The 24,194-nt window shown below is 43.7% G+C and overlaps 1 long non-coding RNA gene and 2 pseudogenes across 13 annotated transcripts in view; 2 read left to right on the top strand and 1 right to left on the bottom strand.

The window, feature by feature from the left end:
* LOC124900384 (uncharacterized) overlaps positions 1-24,194 on the top strand; it is a 54,398-nt gene that overhangs the window by 8,544 nt on the left and 21,660 nt on the right. The window contains exons 5-10 of one of the 13 annotated variants that reach the window (XR_007065325.1): positions 761-819; positions 1,912-2,440; positions 8,029-8,110; positions 10,872-10,936; positions 13,160-13,349; positions 20,364-20,402. This is a non-coding gene — a long non-coding RNA (uncharacterized LOC124900384). The other 12 variants (XR_007065324.1, XR_007065323.1, XR_007065328.1 and 9 more) reach the window with 12 other exon arrangements.
* GTF2IP10 (general transcription factor IIi pseudogene 10) lies at positions 1,911-2,014 on the bottom strand (annotated as a pseudogene).
* RNU6-1100P (RNA, U6 small nuclear 1100, pseudogene) lies at positions 8,816-8,919 on the top strand (annotated as a pseudogene).

Raw genomic sequence — 24,194 nt, 5'->3', positions numbered from 1 at the left:
CTAATGTATTCAATAACATTTCCATAATATTTTTAGTTACATGCTTAAGGTTCTCTTAGTGTTTCTCCCACTTTTTAATAGCTTATGCCTTTTTCACCTTTGGTTTTTTTTTGGTTCATTTTAAAGCAAAAATCTCACAACATGTGATATCTGGAAACACTGTAACCTAGTGGTAAGACCATAGGCCCTGGGGACACAGGCTGGCCACGTCTCTTCTCCTGTCTGAGCTTTAGTATCCTCTTTTGTGGTCATGAGAACTGAAGATCTGTCCCGAAGATTTGATAAGATAGTAAAGTGCTTCACATAATACCAGACATATAAATACACAGTAAATGCTTCCTTCTTATATTTTTATTGATTGATTGATGGAGACAGAATCTTGCTCTCTTGCCCAGGCTGGAATGCAGTGGCGTGATAATGGTTTCTGCAACCTCCACCTCCTGGGTTCAGGCAATTCTCCTGCCTCAGCCTCCCGAGTAGCTGGGATTACAGGTGCCTGCCACCATGCCCAGCTAATTATTGTACTTTTAGTACAGACGGGGTTTTACCATGTTGGCCAGGCTGGTCTCGAACTCCTGACCTCATGATCTGCCTGCCTCGGCCTCCCAAACTGCTGGGATTACAGGTGTGAGCCACTGTGCCCAGCCTGTCCTTTCTCTTCACACCCGCAGTTCATGATGAAATATTAAATATGTACTAGTGGATATTACTTTGCTGAATATTGCCTAATGAATATTAAGTATTTATTCTCACCTTTCAGACATGAACTTATGAATTCAACAGGTGAAGATTTACAACTTGATAAATCAACTTTGTCAGGTACGTCTTCAGTCAAGTCAGATTAGAAGATTATGTGAGGTAATTAACACTTAACATTGATTTAATGGTAGCTTCCACATGAAATAGTATGCCTCTAAGTATTAATTATGTCCTAGGACAGGAGAATTCATGTTGTCAAAATTCTCATACTCTCTAGAACAATAAACTCATTTTCTTTTTATTAGTAAATATTGCATTTATGGGTAGACAAAACTGAAAGAACAATATTTGTTCTACTTTTGAGATGCAAGATTCATCTGGCATAATGCATTGAACAGGTTATTATTGAAGTCTACACCAGTCAACTGAATAAGCATTCATCAAATGTCCATGATATGCAGGACATAAGTTTTCTTTTAGAGTATGGAACCATGCATATTATCTTTTAATTAGATGATTTAGTTAGATATGTTTTTAAAGAACTAGAAATATAATTGTTTTTCTTGTTTTGGCTCTGGAGTGGAGTGGGGACGAAACAGAATGGATTCACACTTGTTTAGATTTACTAAAATGGAAAGATTGCAGCAAGATCATATCCCTAGTCTCCCTATAGCAAATGTCACCTGCTAGCTGTTTTTTTTTTTTTTTTTTTTTTTGGAGGTTGAAGTTTTGTTCTGTCACGCACGCTGGAGTGCAGTGGTATGATCTCAGCTCATGGCAAGCTCACCTCCTGTGTTCAAGCAATTCTCCCTGCCTCAGCCTCCTAAGTAGCTGGGATTACAGGCCTCTGCCACCACGCCTGCCTAATTTTTGTATTTGTAGTAGAGTTGGGGTTTCACCATGTTGGCCAGGCTGGCCTTGAACTCCTGACTTCAGGAGATTCACCCGCCTCAGCCTCCCAAAGTGCTTGGGATTATGGGTGTGTCACTGCACTTGGATTTAATGGGATATTTCACTACAGACTTCGGTAAACAGAATATTAGCATTTTTGGTGTTCTTTTTATTTTACTCATACTGTTTTTCTTTGGACTCAATCACAATAACAGAATTAAAGATCAAAGTGTAAAAGTTAAAGACCAGTACAGATTCAATAATTATTCTTTTCTACATACTGTGTTTAAATGATATCCCTTTTTCTTTTTTTTCTTATAGCTCGAGCTGTAAAAGCCAAAGGTCCGGTGATGATCCCATACCCTTTTTTCCAGTCTCATGTTGAAGATTTTTATGTAGAAGGCCTTCCCAAAGGAATTTTTTTTTTTTTTTTTTTTTTGAGATGGAGTTTTCACTCTTATCGCCCAGGCTGGGGTGCAATGGCGCAACCTTGCTGGTCACTGCAACCTCTGCCTCCTGGGTTCAAGAAATTCTCCTGCCTTAGCCTCCCAAGTCACTGGGATTACAGGTGCCCACCACCATACCAGGCTAATTTTTGTATTTTTAGTGGAGATGCGGTTTCACCATGTTGGCCGGGCCAGTCTCGAACTCCTGACGTCAAGTGATCTTCCCGCCTCGACTCCTGATATCAAGTGATCTTCCCGCCTCGGCCTCCCAGAGTGCTGAGATTACAGACGTGAACCCATGCCTGGCCAGGAATTTTGTTTTTTAGGAAGGCTTTCTACTAATGGAATTCCTGGCCTTGAGAGGATGTTACTTTAGAAGGAAAGGATTTTTTTGTTATTAAAAGGTAAGATTCCTGGATTCTTATTGGACTGTTGTCTCTGTTATGAGTAATCCATCTTTAGTCATTCACCACTAGGGTTGTATTTAATTAAGTCTGAGTTATTTTATGGTGATTTTGTTTTGTTTTGTTTTGTTTTTACCGAATTTTGTTCTCATTGCCGTGGCTTGAGGGCAATGACGTGATCTCAGGTCACCACATTCTCTGCCTTCCAGGTTCAAGCAATTCTCCTGCCTCAGCCTCCTTAGTAGCTGGATTTACAGGCATGCGCCACCATGCCTGGCTAATTTTTTGTATTTTTAGTAGAGATGGTGTTTCACCATGTTGACCAGGCTGGTCTAGAACTCCTGACCTTGGGTGATCCACCCGCCTCGGCCTCCCAAAGTGCTGGGATTACAGGCATGAGCCACTGCGCCCAGCCTGGGCCTGCTTCTTTCTCTTTTTCTTTTTTTTTCATTATCAGCTTAAAATTGGTGCCTTATTCAGACACAAGCAAAAGGACATTAGCCCAGCTTTGGAAATAGGTGAGAGCCCATATATGATTTTCCTAGTTTCTCCTCCCCCTTTGCTTTTTGCTCTCTTGTTAGTATATTAATTGTTTTCACTCTCTGAATCTTTTTTCCCCATTTCTTTGGCAGACATTTTTACTTGTCTTGGAAGAGTAGGTGAAGAGCTGTTTTTAGGACTCTTTGAAAGGGTACAGTATGGGTGACAGTCTTGGCTAATGGTAACATCCAGGGAGCTGGGGTCAGCGTGAGCTGGAATCAGTTCAAATTAGCAAAGCACTGGCACTCAGTAGCAGGAATACAAGTGACTGCAAAGTGTTAAACACATCTGGAAAGGGATACTGACATCATCCTCAGAATCTGTGGGGAGTTCACATAGCCAGTTAAGACCCATTCTTCTTTGACCCTGTAAAGATTCTTTAAAGAATAAATACCCTTAGTGGTTTTCTAGCCAGCTTGCCTGCTCATTTATCTTTGAGGACGACATGCCTTGTGGAGCTCCACAGGCCCCAGAGGGGTATGGATTCTGCATTTAAAAGTGCTGAAGCTGAGAGACTGGGTCTTGGTGGACCCCGAGAGGTCTGTTTCTCCTCTACTCATTGTTCCTTTTTTTCCCAACAGCTGGCATTGCTGTTTAAATGGGTTGTTCTTTGCTGTTTTAAGTTGTTTCATAGTGGTGTGTCAGGATTTGGGTTTTCTTAATACTTTCCAAGCTGGTGACTTGAGTGGTGGTTAGGGAGGAAATGTTTTAGGGCTGTTCTGGAGCTATTGAGGTCGGGTGTCTAGATACTCCCAGCTTGTCTGTTGAGGAGAATGCTGTTCTCATTGTGCTGCCTTTGGTGGTGCTGTGTGTGGCTCTTTAGATGTGCGTGGAGGTGAGCTGGGGGAGTTAATGAGATCTTTTTTAGGTGCTTTTCATAAAGTAGCCTGCACTACAGGATTCACTGTGACTTTTTTCCTTAACCTATGCATTTCTCTCTGCTAGCTTTTGCTGTCTTTCTCATGCCTTTGATTTTCCCAGCTCCTCTTAGTTGAATTAACCTAAGTGCTCTGCTATGGTTTAAATGTGTCCCCCAAAGTTTATGTGCTGGAAACTCAATCCTCAATGCAACAGTTGGGATGTGGGGCCTAATAAAATAGCCTTCATGAATGAGTTAATGTTGTTATTGTGGTAATAGATTAGTAATCACAGAGTGGGCTTATTATAAAACAGAGTTCAGCCCCTTTTGCCCTCTTGCTTTCTTGCACTCTCTTTTCCTTCTGCCTTCTGTAGTGGGATGATGCAGCAAGAAGACCTTTACCAGATGCAGGCCCCTCAACCTTGGACTTCCTAACATCCAGAACTGTTAAGAAATAAAATTTATTCCTTTCCTTTCCTTTTCTTCCTCCTTTCCCTTCTCTTCCCTTTTCTTCCCTTCCCCTCCCTCCCTCTCTCTCTCCCTCCCTCCCTCCTTCCCTCCCTTCCTCCTTCCCTCTTTCTCTCTTTCCCTTCCTTCCTTTCCTTCTTTCCCTTCCTTCCTTTCCTTCCCTCCTTCCCTTTTTCCCTCCTTCCCTCCTCCCTTCCTTTTTTCTTTCCTTCCTTTTTTCCTTTTTATAAATTATGCAGTCTGTGGTATTCTTTTATAGAAGCATGAAATGGACAAAGACTCCATTTTCAAGAGCAAGCACTTTTGTAGTTTCTGAGCGAACTATGACTGCAAAGGAAGTTCTATAGGTAGCCTCAGATCCACTACCTAGGAAGCATGCTACCAAGCAGACCTAGGATCTAGGATTTGATCAAGTGCTGGGCAACATGATACCTCTGCAATTTAGCACTTCCCTATATACCTCCAGTTGGCTCAGCCCATTAGGGCTAAAACTACCCCTCATATCCTAGTGTCTCTTGTAGGCAGAAGCCTTGCCTAAACCCTAAGCTGCTTGGCTCACATTCTCTCTTGTGCTTTTTTTGTAGGGGGTTCAAATATACACAAAAGAAATATGTTGAACCTCCATGCACCCAACCCGCAGATTAAGCAGTTACCTCCATTTTTCCAGATTTGTTTCATCTGCTTCAATCTCCCTAAAAATTTATGTTTGTACAGGAAAGACTGAATAAATAGCTAATTTTCCACCCTACCTCTCATCTTAAGTCACTTTTCAGAGTAGTAAGTTAGTGACCTAGTAACCTTCCCTCTAATGACCAGTAGTTTTTTTTTCTGAATACCATTATGAACTCATAGATTATTGTTTGCATTTGATGTATTTCAGGCCATTGCAGTCTTTATTGTTTTGGATGCTTAGATTGTCTCATCTAGGTTAATAATTATCTCTTCAAGTTGACTTTCATGTCTTTTTGAAGTGATCCTGTTGGACTTTGATGGCTTCCTTGCTTTCTGGCAAAACAGATGTTCCAGGATCAATATACTGCACCATACATGGAGTCAGCCATTTCTCTAGGGAACCTTGATTCCTTTTAGTAGAGAACACAGTTTGAGGTCTTGGACTGAATGACTTTTGTGAACCTCCTCTCCTGAGACTACAGCCTGCATCCCTGCATATAGCCCGTTTGGAGCTCTTGCTGGGCACCAACAGATCTCCTAAAACTGCTATATAGTTCTGCCTCACTCTTACAAAGATTCATCTCTTGAGAGTTTTGTGCTCTACCCCCAGATGTGGTCTTTCTGGTTATGAAGCTTTTGCTTCAGTCACCCTGAATTTTGCCAGCCCTATGCATGCTATACCTTGGATTGCCAACTTGCCCTCACTGAAGCCAGTTTCTCTGGTTAGAATAGTTGCCCAAACCCATGCCTAATACTCTAGTAAACAAGGTTCTACCTGGGCTTAGGTTAACTTTTGCTCCTTTGGGCCCTGTGTTCTACCAGCATTCCATTTATCTGAAACTCTCCCTCACCTTAAGAACTTATCTGTTCTTTAATGATTTACTGCTGCTTCCTGGGCTCGAAAGAACCCAGTTCAGGAGTTTCTGTTTTAGTTTGAGATCTTATAGGCCTGTCTCATCAGGTTGGTGTCAGCCCAGCTAGGATTAGGCAGAATTGGGTGGGGGCTGTAGTGCACTTTTGGCACAGCATGTACCTGTCTGACTAATTCTCTGTCTTTTCTTTCCTGTTGCAATTCATGGGTCTTAGCATCTTCTGAATGGTGTTTAGTAGGTCATCCTGTTGATTTCCTGCTAGGGAGTAGCATACTCTGGCTCTGTACCACTGGCCAAGGGACTTAAGGATAGATGAAGGGCTGCAGTTTTGTTAAATGGAACAATATGAAGAGATGGCATTGTTAAAAAAAAAAAAAAAAGGCTTGGCAGCAGGGCCCATTTGAATGGTTGGTCCTTGGCTCCTTTGTTGATATAGGCAGATCCTTGATGGGAATTTGGAATGATCCCAAATATTGTAGATCACTGGTACATCAAGTCATCCTCAAGGTTGTCTGTGTAACAGTCTTGAATGATATTTTGTCAGTCTTTGGAGATTCTCTGTATAGGGTTTAATCATTTAGTTATTTCAGTTGAGCCTGTTTAGTTTCTTTGCAAGGAGATAAGAAATGTGAAAGAGATGCAGATATTAGGGAAAAAAAGTCAGGAGCCTTGTTTCCCCATCCTCTACTTGGGTTCTGGAACTAGACTCATAGGTGAGTAGTGAGGAGCTGGGCCCAAGCACATTAATCCTAGATCTAGCTCTGCTTTGCCCTCGCTCCAGTTCTTGTATCAAATTCACTTCAAGCCACCCAGAGTAGTATGTAGAGGAGTCATTCAGGACCATGCTCATACTTCATTGTATCAAATGGGAGATCCAGTAATTTATAGCCTATTGTTTCTGGAGCCTGGAGATGGCTCTGCATAAGATTTGCCGAAGCAAATTTTATTACATTAGAAGAGAACCTAGCTGGCTGCATCCTACACTGGAAGCTTTTAGATGCTAATAAGGAGGTCATGTAAAGGTCACAGAATGACTCTGGAATCCATTCCCCGCCAAGAAAGAATAATGACATTCTATGTTGGCCTCTTTTCATTTCCCTTTGGTTTTGAGTAATAAATTCTCTCCTCACTTCCCAGTCGAACTGTTTGGGAGTCTCTATTCCCTAGAAAGACTCTGGTCACATACCCATCAGATTAAATTAGGTGAAAACTCTTTGGCCTTCATGAATGTTGAAGGATTTCAAAGGGCTAATGGAAATTCTTCTAGAAGTAACTGCAACCTCCGCCTTCCGGGTTCAAGCGATTTTCCTGCCTCAGCCTCCCAAGTAGCTGGGATTACAGGTGTCCACCACCATGCCCAACTAATTTTTGTATTTTTAGTAGAGACGGGGTTTCACCATGTTGGCCAGGCTGATCTAGAACTTTTGACCTCAGGTGATCCGCCCGCCTCAGCCTCCCAAAGTGCTGGGATTACAGGCGTGATCCACCGCGCCCAGTTAAACTTCAGTTTTTCATGTTCCATGCATTGGTCAGGGTCTTAGGGAGTGATTCATTCTAGCAGAACTCCCTGGATTTTAAGGCAGATGTTCCATTTATTAATTGACAAAGGAGGCATATTTCTCCCCTGGTAACCCAAAGATTTAGGTCATTTTCCCAGAGACTCCATTTCCACTGTGAGGGTTCTTGGAAAACTAAGCAGAGGATGAGGAAAAGTCTGTGAACAAGCTTGCTGGTCTCTCCCTGTCCTACAAAAGAGCATACCTCTTCTGTAACCAGAAGGCCCTTTTGATTAGTCAAGGCTGGACAGAGTGAGATTGGGGGTGTGTGTGTGTGTGTGTGTGTGTTTGTGTGTGTCTTGAGACAGGGTCTCACTCTGTCACCAAGGCTAGAGTGCAGTGGTGAGATCAGAGCTCACTGCAGCTTCCACTTCCTGGGCTCAAGCGATCCTCCTATTTCAGCCTCCAGAGTAGCTGGGACTATACGAATGTTTTACCGCACCCAGTTCATTTTCTAATTTTTTGTAGAGATGAGGTTTCACTGTGTTGCTCAGGCTGGTCTTGAACTCCTGGCCTCACGGAATCCTCCTGCCTTAGTCTCCCAGTGGGCTGGGATTATAGGTATGAGCCACCTCACCTGACCTGCGACGATTTTTCAATGATGTAATTTCTCTTTTACAGAGCCACCTAAGCTGAAGATTCCCTTGAGAACAAGTACTGTCCCTAGTTTCCCAGTGCTGGAATATAGAAAATGGATGGACAAGTAAATCCCACTCAGCACCCATAGTCCAGGCATGGGGACCTCAACACACCTGAGCCCCAGACATCACCTTTCATTGCGAGTAGCTCTGAGATGACACTTCTGCTGTTCCCAATTCCAGCATTAATTGGATTAGATAGTTATTTTATGAAGAATTTTCATATGCCACAATCCTGACCATATCTTCAAGTGAACAGAAAAATTCTATTAAAAAGTCAACCTTCTGTCTCACTCTGTTGCCCAGACTGGAGTGTAGTGGTGCAATTATGGCTCACTGCAGCCTCAACCTCCTGGGCTCAAGCAATCCTCCTGCCTCAGCCTCACAAGTAGCTGGGACTACAGGTGCTTGTCACCACACCTCACTAATTTTCCCATTTGTGTTATATGTGGATTCCACAGGACTGACTTTGAAAACTTGAGTATGCGTGGATTTTGGTATACACAGAAATGGGAGAGCTGGAACTAATCCCCCCATATACCAAGGGACAAATTGTATCTGTTTCTACAATTATACAGTAGGAGACATTATGTTCCATGACAATGGCAATTTTTAACGACAGTTTTTAATTGAGTGAAATTACCATAAAAATAATAATAGTAGCAGCTAATATTTACTGAGCTGTTACTAGGTGCCTATAAATAGCATAGATTTTTAAATTCTCCATAATTCTTCCTTATTTCACTTAACCACCCTATCTTAAATTACTCATGCTTGCCTCAGTAGCACACATACTTAAGTTGGAACAATAGAGAGATTGGCACGGCCTCTGTGAAAGAATGACATGCAAATTTGTGAAGCATTCCATATTTTTTTAAAAAAAGAGAAAAAAATTACTCCCAGATTTTCACTGTGTTTGTGCATATGACCTTTTGTTTAGGTTGAATTATATCCAAAGGTGAAATTTCCAGAAGTGAGATTACTGTGAGTCACAGGGCATGAGCATTCTTATTACCCTCGATGTAAATTGCAAAGCTTTCAGGCATGGTGGCTGTCAGCCTGTAATTCCAGCACTTTGGGAGGCTGAGGTGGGAGGATTGCTTGAGGCCAGGAGTTGGAGGAGGCAGTATAATGAGTCACTGTCTGTATGATTTAAAAAAAATTTCCAAGCTTTATGCTGGAAGGCTTATATACATTTTAAACACCACTAATACTACAAGAAAATGGCCATTTCACTGCACCTTCGCCCACACAGGTATTATAATTTAACAAGTTATTTTCTGTGTGATAAATGAAAGACCTCCTATTAGCTGGGATTACAGGCATATGCCACCATGCCTGGTTAATTTTTGTATTTTTAGTAGAAACGTGGTTTCACCATGTTGATCAGGCTGGTCTCGAACTCCTGATCTCAAGATCTACCCGCCTTGGCCTCCCAAAGTGCTTGATTACAGCTGTGAGCCATGTGCCCAGCCTATTTGTCACATATTTTATCTTTCCTTATGTTAGCTTATTAGCTTTATTTCTTTATTGTCCTTTTTTTTTTTTTTGAGATGAAGTCTCGCTCTGTCTCCTAGGCTTCAGTGTAGTGGCACAGTCTCAACTCACTGCAGCCTTGACCTCCTAGGCTCAGGTGATCCTTCCACCTCAGTAGTTGGGACTATAGGCACATGCCACTATGCCTGGCCAATTATTTTTATTTTTTTATTTTTACTAGAGAGGAGGTCTTGCTTTGTTTCTTAGGCTGGTCTGGAACTCCTGGCCTCAAGCAATCCCCCCACCACCCCCTCCCAAAGTACTGGTATTATAAGCATGAGCCACCATGCCTGGGGTATCTGTGTCTTTTCCATTTATTTATAGAGTTACTTTGTCTTTTACTAATTCAATGATCTGTTTAATCTTTTATTAAATTATAAAAATGATAAATACTTTTAAATAAGTGAAAAATGTCCTTCACTCTTTAGACCCATAATCTTATCTCAGGAAATAATTGCAGTTGAGAAAATGGGCCATATCCTTCAAGATACGTACATGGTGATTGAACATCACTTCATATTTTCATATTTCGTGGACATTTGTGCCAATACCTATTGATCTATCTTAATCCTTTTCATGGTTGCATAATATTTTATTATATGGATGTATCACAATTTACCAGTACCAGTCAACTGCTGGAGGCATTTAGGCTCCTTCTAATATTTGCTTTGAGCTCTTTATATAATTAAAAATTAACCCCCTCAGCCAGGTGTGGCAGCTCACACCTGTAATCCCAGCATTTTGGAAGGCTGAGGTGAGAGAACTGCCTGAGTGTAGGAGATCACCACCAACCTGGTCAACATAGTGACACTTTGTCTCTACTAAAAATTAAAAAAAAAAAATGAGCTACACGTTGCAGTGCACACCTGTAGTCCGAGCTACTGGGGAGGCTAAGACTGGAGGATCACTTGAGTCTAGAAGGTTGAGGCTGCAGTAAGCTATGATCACACCATTGCACTTTAGCTTTGCTAAGAGCAAGACTGCATTTCTTAAACAAAATAAAAATTAGATGGGAATATTGCTCAAGCCCTGGAGGTTGAGGCTGCAGTTAACTGTGATTGCACCACTGCAGTCCAGCCTAGGTGATAGAGCAAGACCCTTTCTCTAAAAATAAAATAAAATAAAAATTAACCTTCTATCATATTTCCCAGTAACACCTTCCCTCCTACATTTCTCCTAGAAGCCCTTAAATTTTGTTTTTCACATATCGTTTAAAACTTTTAAGTGCTGATGTCTGTCTGTGTCATCCCTCTTTTTTTTTTTTTTTAAATGTCTTTTTGTCACTTCTAGCTGGACCTACCATGAAAGACTTCTGAATCCAGGAAGAGAAACTGACTGGGCAACATGTTATTCAGGTACAAAAAGACTTGGACTGTAACTCAAAAATGATCAAATAATAGTGCATGCATCAAGTGCAATCGGAAGCTCTTCTGGAGAGGGAGAGAAGCTTCCAGTTAAGGTGACATTGAAGCCAAGTCCTGTAAGATAAGGAAGAGTTGTATGAGAGTGGGGAGGGAAGGGGGAGGTGGAGGGATGGGGATTGGGCTGGGATGGGATGGAGTGAGCTGCCCAGGCAGGGAAACCAGCACTATACAGACCTGAACAATGAAGATGGCACATTTTGTTCAGGGTATGGTGAATTAAGTGTGGCAGAAATGCTTTGTAGAGACAGTAATTTGCCTGTATGGAATTTTGCCCAAGAGACCTCATTACAGTTTCTAATTTTTTGATGTTATCATGCATCACTGCCCTTGTCAGATAGTATCATGATCACAATAACATCAAGCATAATATTTCATTGATTCTCACAAAAACAGGTGGGTGCCACAGTTATCCCCATTATATGCACAAAATGATGAAGACTTGGGGTTAATGAGCGATTTGCCCAAGCTCACCTGAATATTAGGACTGAGTCAAATGTTAGTCTGGTCTGACTTTAATGCTTGCCTTGTTCATGAGCACCATGCATTGCCTCTCCTATTAAGTTAAGCAGGTAGACAGGTGAGAGAAGAGCCAGTGTGATATCGGGGGAAATTCACCCCTGATATTTCATGTAGGTTCTTTTCTATTTTCCCTGAGTGTCAGCCAGTCTGAGAAATAAAGGGAAAGAGTACAAAAGAGAGAAATTTTAAAGCTGGATGTCCAGGGGAGACATCACACGTCGGCAGGTTCCGTGATGCCCCCCAAGCCGCAAAACCAACAAGTTTTTATTAGTGATTTTCAAAAGGTGAGGGAGTGTACGAATAGGGTGTGGGTCACAGAGATCACATGCTTCACAAGGTAATAAAATATCACAAGGCAAATGGAGGCAGGGCAAGATCACAGGACCACAGGACTGGGGCGAAATTAAAATTGCTAATGAAGTTTCGGGCGCGCATTGTCATTGATAACATCTTATCAGGAGAAAGGGTTTGAGAGCAGACAACCCATCTGACCAACATTTATTAGGCGGGAATTTCCTTGTCCTGATAAGCCTGGGAGCGCCACGCGAACCCAGGGCTTATTTCATCCCTTATCTATGACTGTAAAAGACAGCCGTCCCCAAAGCGGCCATTTCAGAGGCCTCCCCTTAGGGATGCATTCTCTTTCTCAGGGATGTTCTTTGCTGAGAAAAAGAATTCAGCAATACTTCTCCTATTTGCTTTTGAAAGAAGAGAAATATGGCTCTGTTCAACCCGGCCCACAGGCAGCCAGAGTTTAAGGTTATCTCCCTTGTTCCCTGAAATTGCTGTTATCCTGTTCTTTTTTCAAGGTGCCCAGGTTTCATATTGTTTAAACAACTTGTGCAGTTAACGCAATTATCACAGGGTCCTGCGGGGACATTCATCCTCAGCTTACGAAGATGACCGGATTAAGAGATTAAAGACAGGCATAGAAAATCACAAGGGTATTGATTGGGGAAGTGATAAGTGTCCATGAAATCTTCACAATTTATGTTCAGAGATTGCAGTAATGACAGGCCTAAGAAATTATAGAAGTATTAATTTGGGGAACTAATAAATGTCCATGAAATCTTCACAATTTATATTCTTCTGCTGTGGCTTCAGCCAGTCCCTCCGTTTGGGGTCCCTGACTTCCTGCAACACGTTTCTCTCTACTCACAGACTTCTGACCAAATGTGTGTGCAGAGTTTCTACACCAGTTCTCCAACTCTCTGGATGCCAACCGCGTATCCCACAATTCCATTCTGACACTACCTAGAGTTAGCACAGAACCCACAGGTTAGGGGCTCAGTCCCACAAGACCACCCTCACTTCAGATGCCAGTTGCAAGTCCTAGGTTGTCACCTGTATTTTGACCAACCAGTTAGAAATCAGGGTTTCCCATGACCCTCTTGTTGAGTTTAATTATTTACTAGAACAACTCACAGAACTTAGAAAAACAAGTTTTTTTTCTTTTCTTTTTAAGAGACAGGGCCTCGCTCTGTTGTCCAAGCTGGTGTGCAGTGGTGTAATCATAGCTTATTGAAGCCTCAACGTCCAGGGCTCAAGTGATTCTCCTGCTTCAGCCTCTCAAGTAGCTGGAATTACAGGGTTCCCACCACCACATTTGGCTAATTTCTTTTATTTTTTGTATAGATGGGGTCTTCTTATGTTGCCCAGGTTGGTCTCAAATTCCTAGGCTCAAGTGATTCCGCCCACCTCTGCCTCCCAAAGTGCTGGGATTACGGGCATGAGCCAGTGCATCTGGCCACCTTATTTTCTATTACTGGCTCAATGTAATGGCTCCATCTCAGGAACAGCCAATGAAAGAGATGCACAGGACAAGGTAAGTGGGGAGGGGCACAGAGCTTCCATGCCCTCTGTTGGGCACACTACCCTCCCAGGACCTCCTTGTGTTTAGCAACACAGAAGCTCTCCAAACCCTGCTGTTTGGGTGTTTATGGAGGCATGATTGATAAAATCACTGGCCATTGGTAGTTAAGTCAATCTCCAGTTCCTTTTGCCTCCTGGAGTTCAGCAGGTGAGGCTGAAAGTTCCAAGCCTCAAAAAATGTGGTTGGGGCCAGGTGCGGTGGCTCACTCCTGTAATCCTAGCAGTTTGGAAGGCTGAGGCACATGGACCACTTGAGGTCAAGAGTTTGAGACCAGCCTGACCAACATGGTGAAACCCCGTTTCTACTAAAAATAACAACAGTTAGCTAGGCATTGTGGCACACCCCTATAATTCCAGCTACTCGGGAGGCCGAGGCAGGAGAATTGCTTGAACCCGGGAGGTGGAGGTTGTAGCAAGCTGAGATTGTGCCATTGCACTCCAGCCTGGGCTACAAGAGCCAAACTCTGTTTTAAAAAAAAAATGTGGTTGCTTTCTCTGGCAGCTAGCCCTCCTCCTGAAGCAGTCTCGGAGCTTGCAGCCACCCCGTTAGCTCAACAGCATCCCACATGCATTCTTACCATGCTGCAGATCTGAAAGACCTTAGAGGCCCTTGTGTCAGGAACCTGGGACTAAGACTAAATATCAAAACAGAAAATGCTCCTATTACCTCTGTCACGAAGGGCTTTATAAGAGCTTTGGAAGCTCTATGCCAGGAACCACGGGCAGAGACCAAATGTATATTTCTTTTCTTATATCGGAGACAGAGTCTCACTCTGCCACTGAGGCTGGAGTGCAGTGATGTGATCATAGCTCACTGCAGCCTTGACCTCCTAGGCTAAAGCAATCCTCCCACCTTAGCCTCTCCAGTAGCTGGAACTACAGGCATGCATCACCATGTCCAGCTGATTTTAATTTTGTAAAGGCAGGATCTTCCTATTTTCCCCAGGCTGATCTCTAACTCTTGGCCTCAAGCAATCCTTCCTCTTTGGCCTCCCAAAATGTTGGGATTACAGATGGGAGCCCCCATACCCACCAATCACAAGGATCTTTATAAGAGAATGAGGTAGGAGAGTCAGAATTAGAGAAAGTGATGTGGTAATGGAAGAAGAGGTCAGAGAGGGAGATTTGAAGATGCTGCACTTCTGGCCTTGAATATGGAGTCACGAGGTAAGTCAAGGAATGGGGGTGGCTTCTAGAAGCTGGAAAAGGCAAAGGAGCACATTCTGTCTAGAGCCTCCCCCAGAAGGAATGCAGCCTCTCTGACACCTTGACTTTAGCCTTAATAGACCTAGTTGGGCTTCTGGCCCCCAGAACTGTAAGATGGTAGATTTGTGGTGTTTGATGCCACTAAATGTAGGGTACTTTGTTGTAGCAACAACAAAAAATGAACACGAAGCTGGGACCTCATGTTACAGTTGCTCACGCCTGTAATCCCAGAACTTTAGGAGGCTGAGGTGGGAGGATCGCTTAAGCCCAGGAGCTTAAGACCAGCCTGGGCAACATAATGAGACCTCATGTCTAAAAAAAATATTTTTTTAAAGGCCAGGCGCAGTGGCTCACGCCTGTAATCCCAGCACTTTGGGAGGCCGAGGAGGGTGGATCACGAGGTCAGAAGTTCAAGACCAGCCTAGCCAAGATGGTGAAACCCCATCTCTACTAAAAATACAAACATTAGCCAGGTGTGGTGGTGGGTGCCTGTAATCCCAGCTACTTGGGAGGCAGAGAATCACTTGAACCCAAAAGGCAGACATTGCAGTGAGCCAAGATCGCACCCTTACACTTCAGCCTGGGCGACCGAGACTCCGTCTCAAAAAAAAAAAAATAAAAGCCATGTGTTGTGGCATGCAGCTGTAGTCTCAGTTCCTAGGGTGGCTGAGGCGGGAGGATTGTTTAAGCCTGGGAGGTTGAAGTTGCTGTGAGCTGTGATTGCACCAGTGTACTCCAGCCTGGGCAATAAAGCAAGATCTTGTTTCAAAAAGAAAGAAAGAAATGAGCATGGTGGGAATGGGGACAGATGGCAGTGTTAAGTAGAGTGGTCAGGGTTGGCCTCATAAGTGAATATTGAGCAAAAGTTTGAAGCAGGTGATGGAGCTGGCCAAGGTGCTGAGGGAAGAGCATTGTAGGCTGAGTCAACAGGATAAAGGCATTAGGAGGAAACTCTCTGGTGTGTCTGAGGCTCTGGAAGGAGGCCAGTGGAGCAAAGAGATGGAGCGAAGTCAGCGAGGAGGCCAGGGAGTTGCTGGGCTGGGATCGGTACAGATCGTGTAAGCCCTGGGACGCTATTGCTGGGGCTTTGGCTTTTGCTCTGACTAAAATGGGAACCACCGAGGGCTTCTGAGCAGAGAGGCGACATGATCCGTCTCCTGATTTAAAAGCACGACCTGGCTGCCGAGTTGAGAAAGACTATGGGAAGATTTGGGTAGAAGCATGGGAGCCAAGCTGTGGCAACATCCCGGTGGGAGATGATAGTGATCCTGACGGGGTTCATGGTGGTGGTGAGAGATGGTTAGAGCCTGGATACATGTTGAAGTCAGTCAGTAGGATTTCCTGACAGACTGGATGTGAGCTGTGAGAGAAGGCAGTGGTCAAGGTTGAGTTTGATTCTGATTGAATTATTAAGTAATTTTAAAAAACACTACTGCTTTTCCCAATCCTACCAAGTAAAGGATGCTAGATAAAAGAAATCCCAAGTCAGGCCAGGTACAGTGGCTCACACCTATAGTTCCAACAGTTTGAGAGGCAGAGGAGATGGGAGTATGTTTTAAGGCCATGAGTTTGAGAGCAGCCTGGGCAACACAGCAAGACCTCCTCTCTACAAAAATAAAAAAAATAAATTTAATAAAATAAAATAAATATAGCCAGGCATGATGGTATGTACCTATGGCCCCAGTTACTCATGTGGCTGAGATGGGCAGATCTCTTGATTCTAGGAGTTTGAGGCCAGCTTGGGCAACATAGCAAGTCTTCTCTCTCTACAAAAATGAAAAAAATGCCTGACATGGTGATACTTGCCTGTATTCCCAGGTATGGGGGCAGCTGAGGCAGGAGCATCTCTTGAGCCCAGTTGGTCAAGGTTGCAGTGAGCTATGATTATACCACTGCACTCCATCCTGGGTGACAGAGTGGGACCCTGTCTCAAAATACAAATACAAATGAAATCTCAAGTCAGACCAGTCCCTTCTAGGCTATGTAGGCCTTGTAACCATACAGCTGCATGATCGGGTTTGTGTGGCTGTGGATGAGGAGACCCCTGTCCAATTGTTGGCTATGTAATCAGTTTATTTTTCAATATAGTAATCAAATATATTTCATCATACTTGATGGTCTCAGATATGTGTGGATTTTGGAATTCCCCTTGGAACAGGTTGTAACATCTTATTGGCTCCATAATTCCATAATTTTTTAAATCGGATCAGTTTTTAATAAGATCGCAATTTATATTAGACTACTTAATCGGTTTTGTTAATGACAAAATGAAATTGTGTTGTTTGCATTTTATCCAAGATGGGTGTCATATTGGGTAAATCTCATCAATACTTGAACAAATGCAAAATTAGAGCTTCTTTATCATGAAACACGATGTAATTCTTGAAGAAGATGCCATTTCTTTTTTTTCTTTTTTTTTTTAAGATAAGAGTCTTTCTCTTGTCACCCAGGCTGGAGTGCAATGGTGCGATTTTGGCTCACTGCAACCTTCACCTTCTGGGTTCAAGCAATTCTCCTGCCTCAGCCTCCCGAGTAGCTGGGATTACAGGTGCCCGCCACCATACCCAGCTAATTTTTGTATTTTTAGTAGAGATGGGATTTCACCATGTTGGCCAGGCTCCTCTGGAGCTCCTGACCTCAGGCAATCTGCCTGCCTCAGCCTCCCAAAATTCAAGGAGTACAGATGTGAACAACCACGCCCGGCCTCCATTTCTTTTTTGTAGTCTTTAATAAACAGCTGCTATCATTGCAGACTTGCTGTTTAGGCACTTAGGAATTTTTCACTAGAAGGCATGTAAATAAAGACCATGGGCAATTGTAATGAATTTCGCCTTCATTCTTTGACTACATGACTGTCCCCAGAGCTGTAACTTTATTGAATTTTTTAGAAGCCATTTAGCTAGCAACTGAGCCTAACCAGCCACTCACTGTCATTATTCAGTGCTCTTTTATTATTGTCTATTTCTCCTCCAACTTGGCTACACTCACAAAGTGATAAAAACTTGCATTTGTTTTCTTTCCTTTTCAGAGACAGCGTCTTGCTCTGTTGCTTAGGCTACAGTACAGTGACATGATCATGGTTCACTGTAGCCTCAAACTCCTGGGCTCAAGTGGTTCTCTCACTTCAGTCTCCCAAGTAGCTGGGACTACAGACATGTGCCACCATGTCCAGCTAATTTTTTATCATAGAGACGGGATCTTGCCATGTTGCTCCGACTGGGCTCAAAACTCCTGACCTCAAGTGATCCTCCTGCCTCAGCCTCCCAAAGTGCTGGGATTACAGGCAGGCATGACCACCTGTGCCCAGCCCCCTATTATTATTATTTTAAATAATAGCTTTATTAAAATATTCACATACCATTCACTTTATTTATTGAAATCTGCAATTCAGTAGGTTTTAGAATATTCACAGAGCTGTGCATCGATCACCACAGTCACTTTTAGAACCTTTCATTACCCTATAGAGAAATCCATACCCCTTAGCCACTACCTCCTACTCTCCCCACCTACCTTTGCCCCCAGCCTTAGGCAACCATTGATTAATTTTTTTGTCACTATAGATTTGCCTAATCTGGACAAATAGAATTGTACAATATGTGATCTTTTGTGGCTTTTTTTCCCTCTTAGCACAGTGTTTTCAAAGTTCCTTTATGTCATAGTGTGTATCAATATTTCATTCCTTCTATGGCAGTATTCCATGGTAGAGACACACTGCATTTTGTTTATCTGTTCATCAGTTGGTGGATATTTGGGTTGTTTCCATGTATTCCATGTATTGGTCATTATGAATAATGCTGCTATGAAGATTGTTGTACAAGTTTTTGTGTGGACATATATTTTTATTTTTCTGGGATATATGCCTAGGAGTGAAATTGTTGCATTATAGGATGACTGTACATTTAGCCTTTTGAGAAACTGCCAGAATGTTTTCTAACGTGGCTATACCAGTTGGGTGCAATGGCTCACACCTGTAATCCCAGCTACTCAGGAGGCTCAGCTAGGAGGATGGCTTGAGCCCGTGAATTCAAGACCAGCCTGGGCAAGATAGTGAAACCCCGTCTTGATTTTTTAAAAATCCAATTAAAATGACAAGAAAAGAAATACCCAAACAAAATGGTTACACAATTTTATGTTCCCACCAGTAATGTTTGTGGGTTCCAATTCCTCCACATCTTCACTGACATTTTTTTTTTCTAGATAGGGGCTTGCTCTGTCTCTCAGGCCGCAGTGCAATGATGCCATCACAGTTCACTGCAGCCGTGACCTCCCAGGCACAAGTGATTCTCTCATCTCAGCCTCCTGGGTAGCTGAAAATTACAGGTGTACGCCACCATGCCTGGCTAATTTTTAGATTTTTCTGTAGTGGTGGGATTTTACCATGTTGCCCAGGCTGGTCTCATACTCCTGGCCTCAAGTGATCTGCCCACCTCAGCCTCCCTAAGTTCTGGAATTACAGGCTGCCACCATGCCCGGCCTTCACCAACATTTGCCATTATCTGTTTTTTTTTTCTTCCTTTATACCTTAAAGCAGTATAAGAACAAGTGTCTTCAATTATAGGAAACAGTATAATCCCAGGGCTTTGGGAGGCTAAGACAGGAAGATGTCTTGATGCCAGGAGTTTTTTTTGTTGTTGTTGTTTTTGTTTTTGTTGTTGTTGTTGTTGTTGACAGTCTCGCTCTGTCACCCAGGGTGGAGTGCAGTGATGGGGTCCACTGCAACCTCCACCTCCCAGGTTCAAGTGATTCTCCTGCCTCAGCCTCCCGAGTAGGTGAGACTACAGGCACACGCCACTACTGCCCAGCTGATTTTTGTATTTTTGATAGAGTCAGAGTTTCACCGTGTTGGCCAGGCTGGTCTCGAACTCCAGACTTCAGGTGATTTGCCTGCCTTAGCTTCCCAAAGTGCTGCGATTACAAGCATGAGCCACCATGCCCAGCCTGATGCCAGGAGTTTTAGACTAGCCTGGGCAACCTAGCAAGACCTTGTCTCTACAGAATATTTAAAAATTAGCCAAATGTGGTGGTGCCTGTGTATAGTCTCTCTCCCTCTCTCTTTTTTTTTTCTAACTTTTTGTGACATGGTCTGGCTCTGTCACCCAGGCTGAAGTGCAGTGGTGTGATCATGGCTCACTGCAGCCTGAAACTCCTGGGATCAAGTGATCAATCCTCCCACCTCATCCTACCAAGTAGTAGGGACCACAGGTGTGTGCCACCCAGGTCTTGCTATGTTGTCCAGGCTGGTCTTGAGCTCCTGGCCTCAAGCAATCCTCTCACCTTGGCCCCCCACAGTGCAAGGATTACAGGTATGAGCCACCATGCCTGGCCCCTACCCTGCCTACTGAGAACCAAAGGAAGGATCCAAATTCTCCTTAGCTCAACTCGAGCCATTTCCTGATTGCTTCATCAGCGAGGAGCTGGTTATTGGGCTGTCCAGGCCTCCCAAGCAGCACAGAAATGAGGTGAAGGAGTTTTCCTGTTGCTCCACTCTGTAAGGAGTTGGAGGGTGATGTTTACTCGTTTGCAGAGAGAGATGCCTTGTAGGCACCTCAGGATGGAGAGGGCCCTGATTCCAATGTCCTTTTTTTCTTCAGAAACAGGACCTTGCCCTGTCACTCAGGATGGAGTTCAGTGGTCCTATCATGGCTCATTATAGCCTCAAACTCCCAGGCTCAAGCAATCCTACCATGTCAGCCTTCCCAGTAGCTGGGACTACAGGTAAGCATCGTGACACTCAGTGAATTTTGTTTTTATTTTGTTGTAGAGATGGGACCTCAGTATGTTGCCATGGCTGACCTTGAACTCCTGCACTCAAGGGATTTTCCTACCCTGGCCTCCCAAAGTATTGGTATTACAGGCATGAGCCATTGTGCCCACCGTCTCTGGTTCTTAACCTTCTGCCTCCCTCTTCCAGTTTTAAAGAATGCTTGTAATTACATGGGCTCTCCTAGATACTCCAGGATAATCTTGTTTTAAGGTCAGCTGATGAGCAACATTAATTTTATCTGCACTCTTAATTCCCCCTTCCTCTGTAACTGTGCTGTGTAACATAGGACATGAGCAATTGGTGGCGGTGGGGGTTATTACTTTGGCCACCACAGTAACTATTTTATGCCAGGTACTCAGCTAAGCACTGGTGAATTAAGCATGAATAACACACACTCCCTAATCTCCATCCATTCATGGGAGGAGCACTTCACCTGCCATGCTCCTGAGAATCTCGGGAGTCATAGAAGTCTTCTATGAGGAGGTGATGCCAAAGCGGACAAGTGACAGAGGAGTCAAAGCTAGCTAGGAAGAGAGTAGAGGTTTAAGGGGAAGCATATTATAAGCAGAGGATATTACCCACTTCAGAGACTCCCAGAGGAGAAAGAGTGTGCGTTCAAGGGGCAGATGAGGCTCAGTTGGACTCCATAGCAGATGAAATGGAGAGGGGCAAGCAGTGAGGCTGCCTTGCAAGGCAGGGCAGAGCAGGGGCTGTTAAGGAGTTTGGACTTAATCCCTGAGGCAAGGAGAAGTGATGTAAATGGGGGAGTAACATGATGAGATTCATAGATTAGAGACATGGCTCAGGCTGCTGTAGAGAAGGCACCGGGAAGAGCAGATGGCTCAATGTGTGTGCAGAAGACCTCTCCCTGAGTTTAGGGAGAGGTTTTTAAAACAGAAGAAGTTTGAGTAATTTAAATGATGATGGGAAGGAGCTAAAAGTGGGGGATAGGTTAAAGATACAGGAAAGTGGGAGGAAGAACTGACAAGTGAGGTTCCAGAGAGGGCAGGAGAAGAGGAGATTCCCATAGGGGGATTAACACTTTCTTTTCTTTTTTCTTTCTAAGACAGGGTCTCACTCTGTCGCCCAGGCTGGAGTGCAGTGGCACAATCTTGGCTCACTGTAGTGTAGACTTCCCAGGCTCAAGGGATTTCTCCCACCCCAGACTCCCAAGTAGCTGGAACTACGGGTGTGCACCACCACCACACCTGGCTAATGTCTCTTTTTTTTGGTAGACACAGAGTCTCACTATTTAGCACTGATTGGTCTCCAACTCCTGGCCTCAAGCGATCCTCCTGCCTAGGCTTCCCAAATTGCTGGGATTACAGGCATGAGCCACAATGCCTGGCCTCTGCTAGTTCCGTATTCTCTAGAGTTGTCTTTACTTTGTGCTAGTGTGTCCCTCATTGTGCTGATCCTCTGTAAAAATTAATACCCTTTTTTTTTTTTGAGATGGAGTTTCACTCTTGTTGCCCAGGCTGGAGTGCAATGGCGCTATCTCGGCTCAGCGCAACCTCCACCTTCTGGGTTCAAGCAATTCTCCTGCCTCAGCCTCCCGAGTAGTTGGGATTACAGGCATGTGCCACCATGCCCAGCTAATTTTGTATTTTTAGTAGAGATGGGGTTTCTCTGTGCTGGTCAGGCTGGTCTCGAACTCCTGACCTCAGGTGATCTGTCTGCCTTGGCCTCCCAAAGTGCTGGGATTACAGGCATGAGCCATTTTGCCTGGCCAAAATTAATACTTTTTATATTAAATTTACATATATATATATATATATATATATATATATATATATATATATATATATACGTTTTTTCTTTTTGATACCGGGTCTCACACTGTCACCCAGGCTGGAGTACAGTGGCACAACCTCTGCTCACTGCAGCCTCCACCTGCCAGGCTCAAGCAATTCTCCTGCCTCAGCCTCCCGAGTAGCTGGGATTACAGGTAAGTGCCACCACACCCAGCTGATTTTTGTGTTTTTTGTAGAGACGAGGTTTCGCCATGTTTCCCAGACTGTTCTCAAACTCCTGAGCTCAAAGCAGTCCACCCACCTTGGCCTCCCAGAGTTCTGGGATTACAGGTGTGAGCCATCTTGCTCATTCTAGTTTAAACTTTTGAGTGGTTTGTGTCTCCTGATTGGACTCCTACAAATACAGAATTGATGCTAGGAAGGGTACCAGGAGATAGACGCACACAGATGGGATTTGGGAATAGGTTTGGTTATCCAAGGAGCAGTGCTGAGCTCCTTGCAATGGGATATGGGATGCTGGTGATTTCCAGGATGTGAGCTCACAATGACTCAAGCTGCCACATACTGTTGATTGTGAAATGCCAGTTGAAGCATATGTCCTGCGAGCTTAGGGGTGCTACAAGTTGACCACTGCAGCAGTAAAGATGACTCTGAAGAATGGCGTGGGTTGGTTCCTTTCAAATGCACTTGAGCAGCGGTCTCCAACCACAGGGCCACAGAGCTGGAGGTGAGCAGCAGGCGAGTGAAGGGAAACTTCATCTGTATTTCTAGCCCCTCCCATCGCTTGCATGACCACCTGAGCTCCATGTCCTGTCAGATCAGCAGCAGCATTAGATTCTCACAGGAGCACAAACTCTGTTGTGAAGTGTGCATGCGAGGGATCTAGGTTGTGTACTCCTTATGAGAATCTAATGCCTGATATTCTGTTACTGTCTCCCATCACCCCAGATGGACAGTCTAGTTGCAGGAAAACAAGCTCAGAGATCCCACTGAGTCTACGTTATAGTGAGTTGTAGAATCATTTCATTATATATTACTATGTAGTAATAATAGAAATAAAGTGCACAATATATGTAATGCACTTGAATCATCCTGAAATTATTCCCTCATTCCCAGTCTGTGGAAAAATTGTCTTCCACACATTCACTCTGTTTTTTGGTAGAGGCAGGGTCTTAATATATTGCCCAGTCTGATCTCAAACTCCTGGCCTCAAGTAATATACCTCTCTCAGCCTCCCAAAGTGCTGAGATTACAGGCATAAGCCACCACCCTCAACCAAGACTTTCTTAAACCAAATAAAAATTAAGTGAGATTACTTGAGCCCAGGTGGTCAAGGCTGCAGTGAGCCTGATTGCACCACTGCACTCCAGCCTAGGTGACAGAATGAGACTGTCTCAAAAAATAAAATAAAATACAAATTAACCCTTCATGACATTCCCAGTAACTTCCTAAGTGCTCCCCACAAGTCTTTGAATTCTGTTTAATTCTCACATAACATTTAAGACATTTAAGAACTTATGTCTGTCTGTGTCATCCCTTTATGTCAAAAGATGTCTTTTTGTCACTTCCAGCTGGATCTACCATGAAAGACTTGTGAATCCAGGAAGAGAGACTGACTGGGCAACATGTTATTCAGGTACAAAAAGATTTGGACTGTAACTTAAAAATGATCAAATTATGTTTCCCATGCATCAGGTGCAATGGGAAGCTCTTCTGGAGAGTGAGAGAAGCTTCCAGTTAAGGTGACATTGAAGCCAAGTCCTGAAAGATGAGGAAGAGTTGTATGAGAGTGGGGAGGGAAGGGGGAGGTGGAGGGATGGGGAATGGGCCGGGATGGGATAGCGCAAACTGTCCGGGAAGGGAAACCAGCACTGTACAGACCTGAACAACGAAGATGGCATATTCTGTTCAGGGAATGGTGAATTAAGTGTGGCAGGAATGCTTTGTAGACACAGTAATTTGCTTGTATGGAATTTTGCCTGAGAGACCTCATTGCAGTTTCTGATTTTTTGATGTCTTCATCCATCACTGTCCTTGTCAAATAGTTTGGAACAGGTATAATGATCACAATAAC

This window comes from Homo sapiens, chromosome 1, assembly GCF_000001405.40.
Source record: "Homo sapiens chromosome 1, GRCh38.p14 Primary Assembly".
Classification (NCBI taxonomy): Eukaryota; Metazoa; Chordata; class Mammalia; order Primates; family Hominidae; genus Homo; species Homo sapiens.
This window is presented reverse-complemented; position numbering and strand designations above follow the sequence as displayed.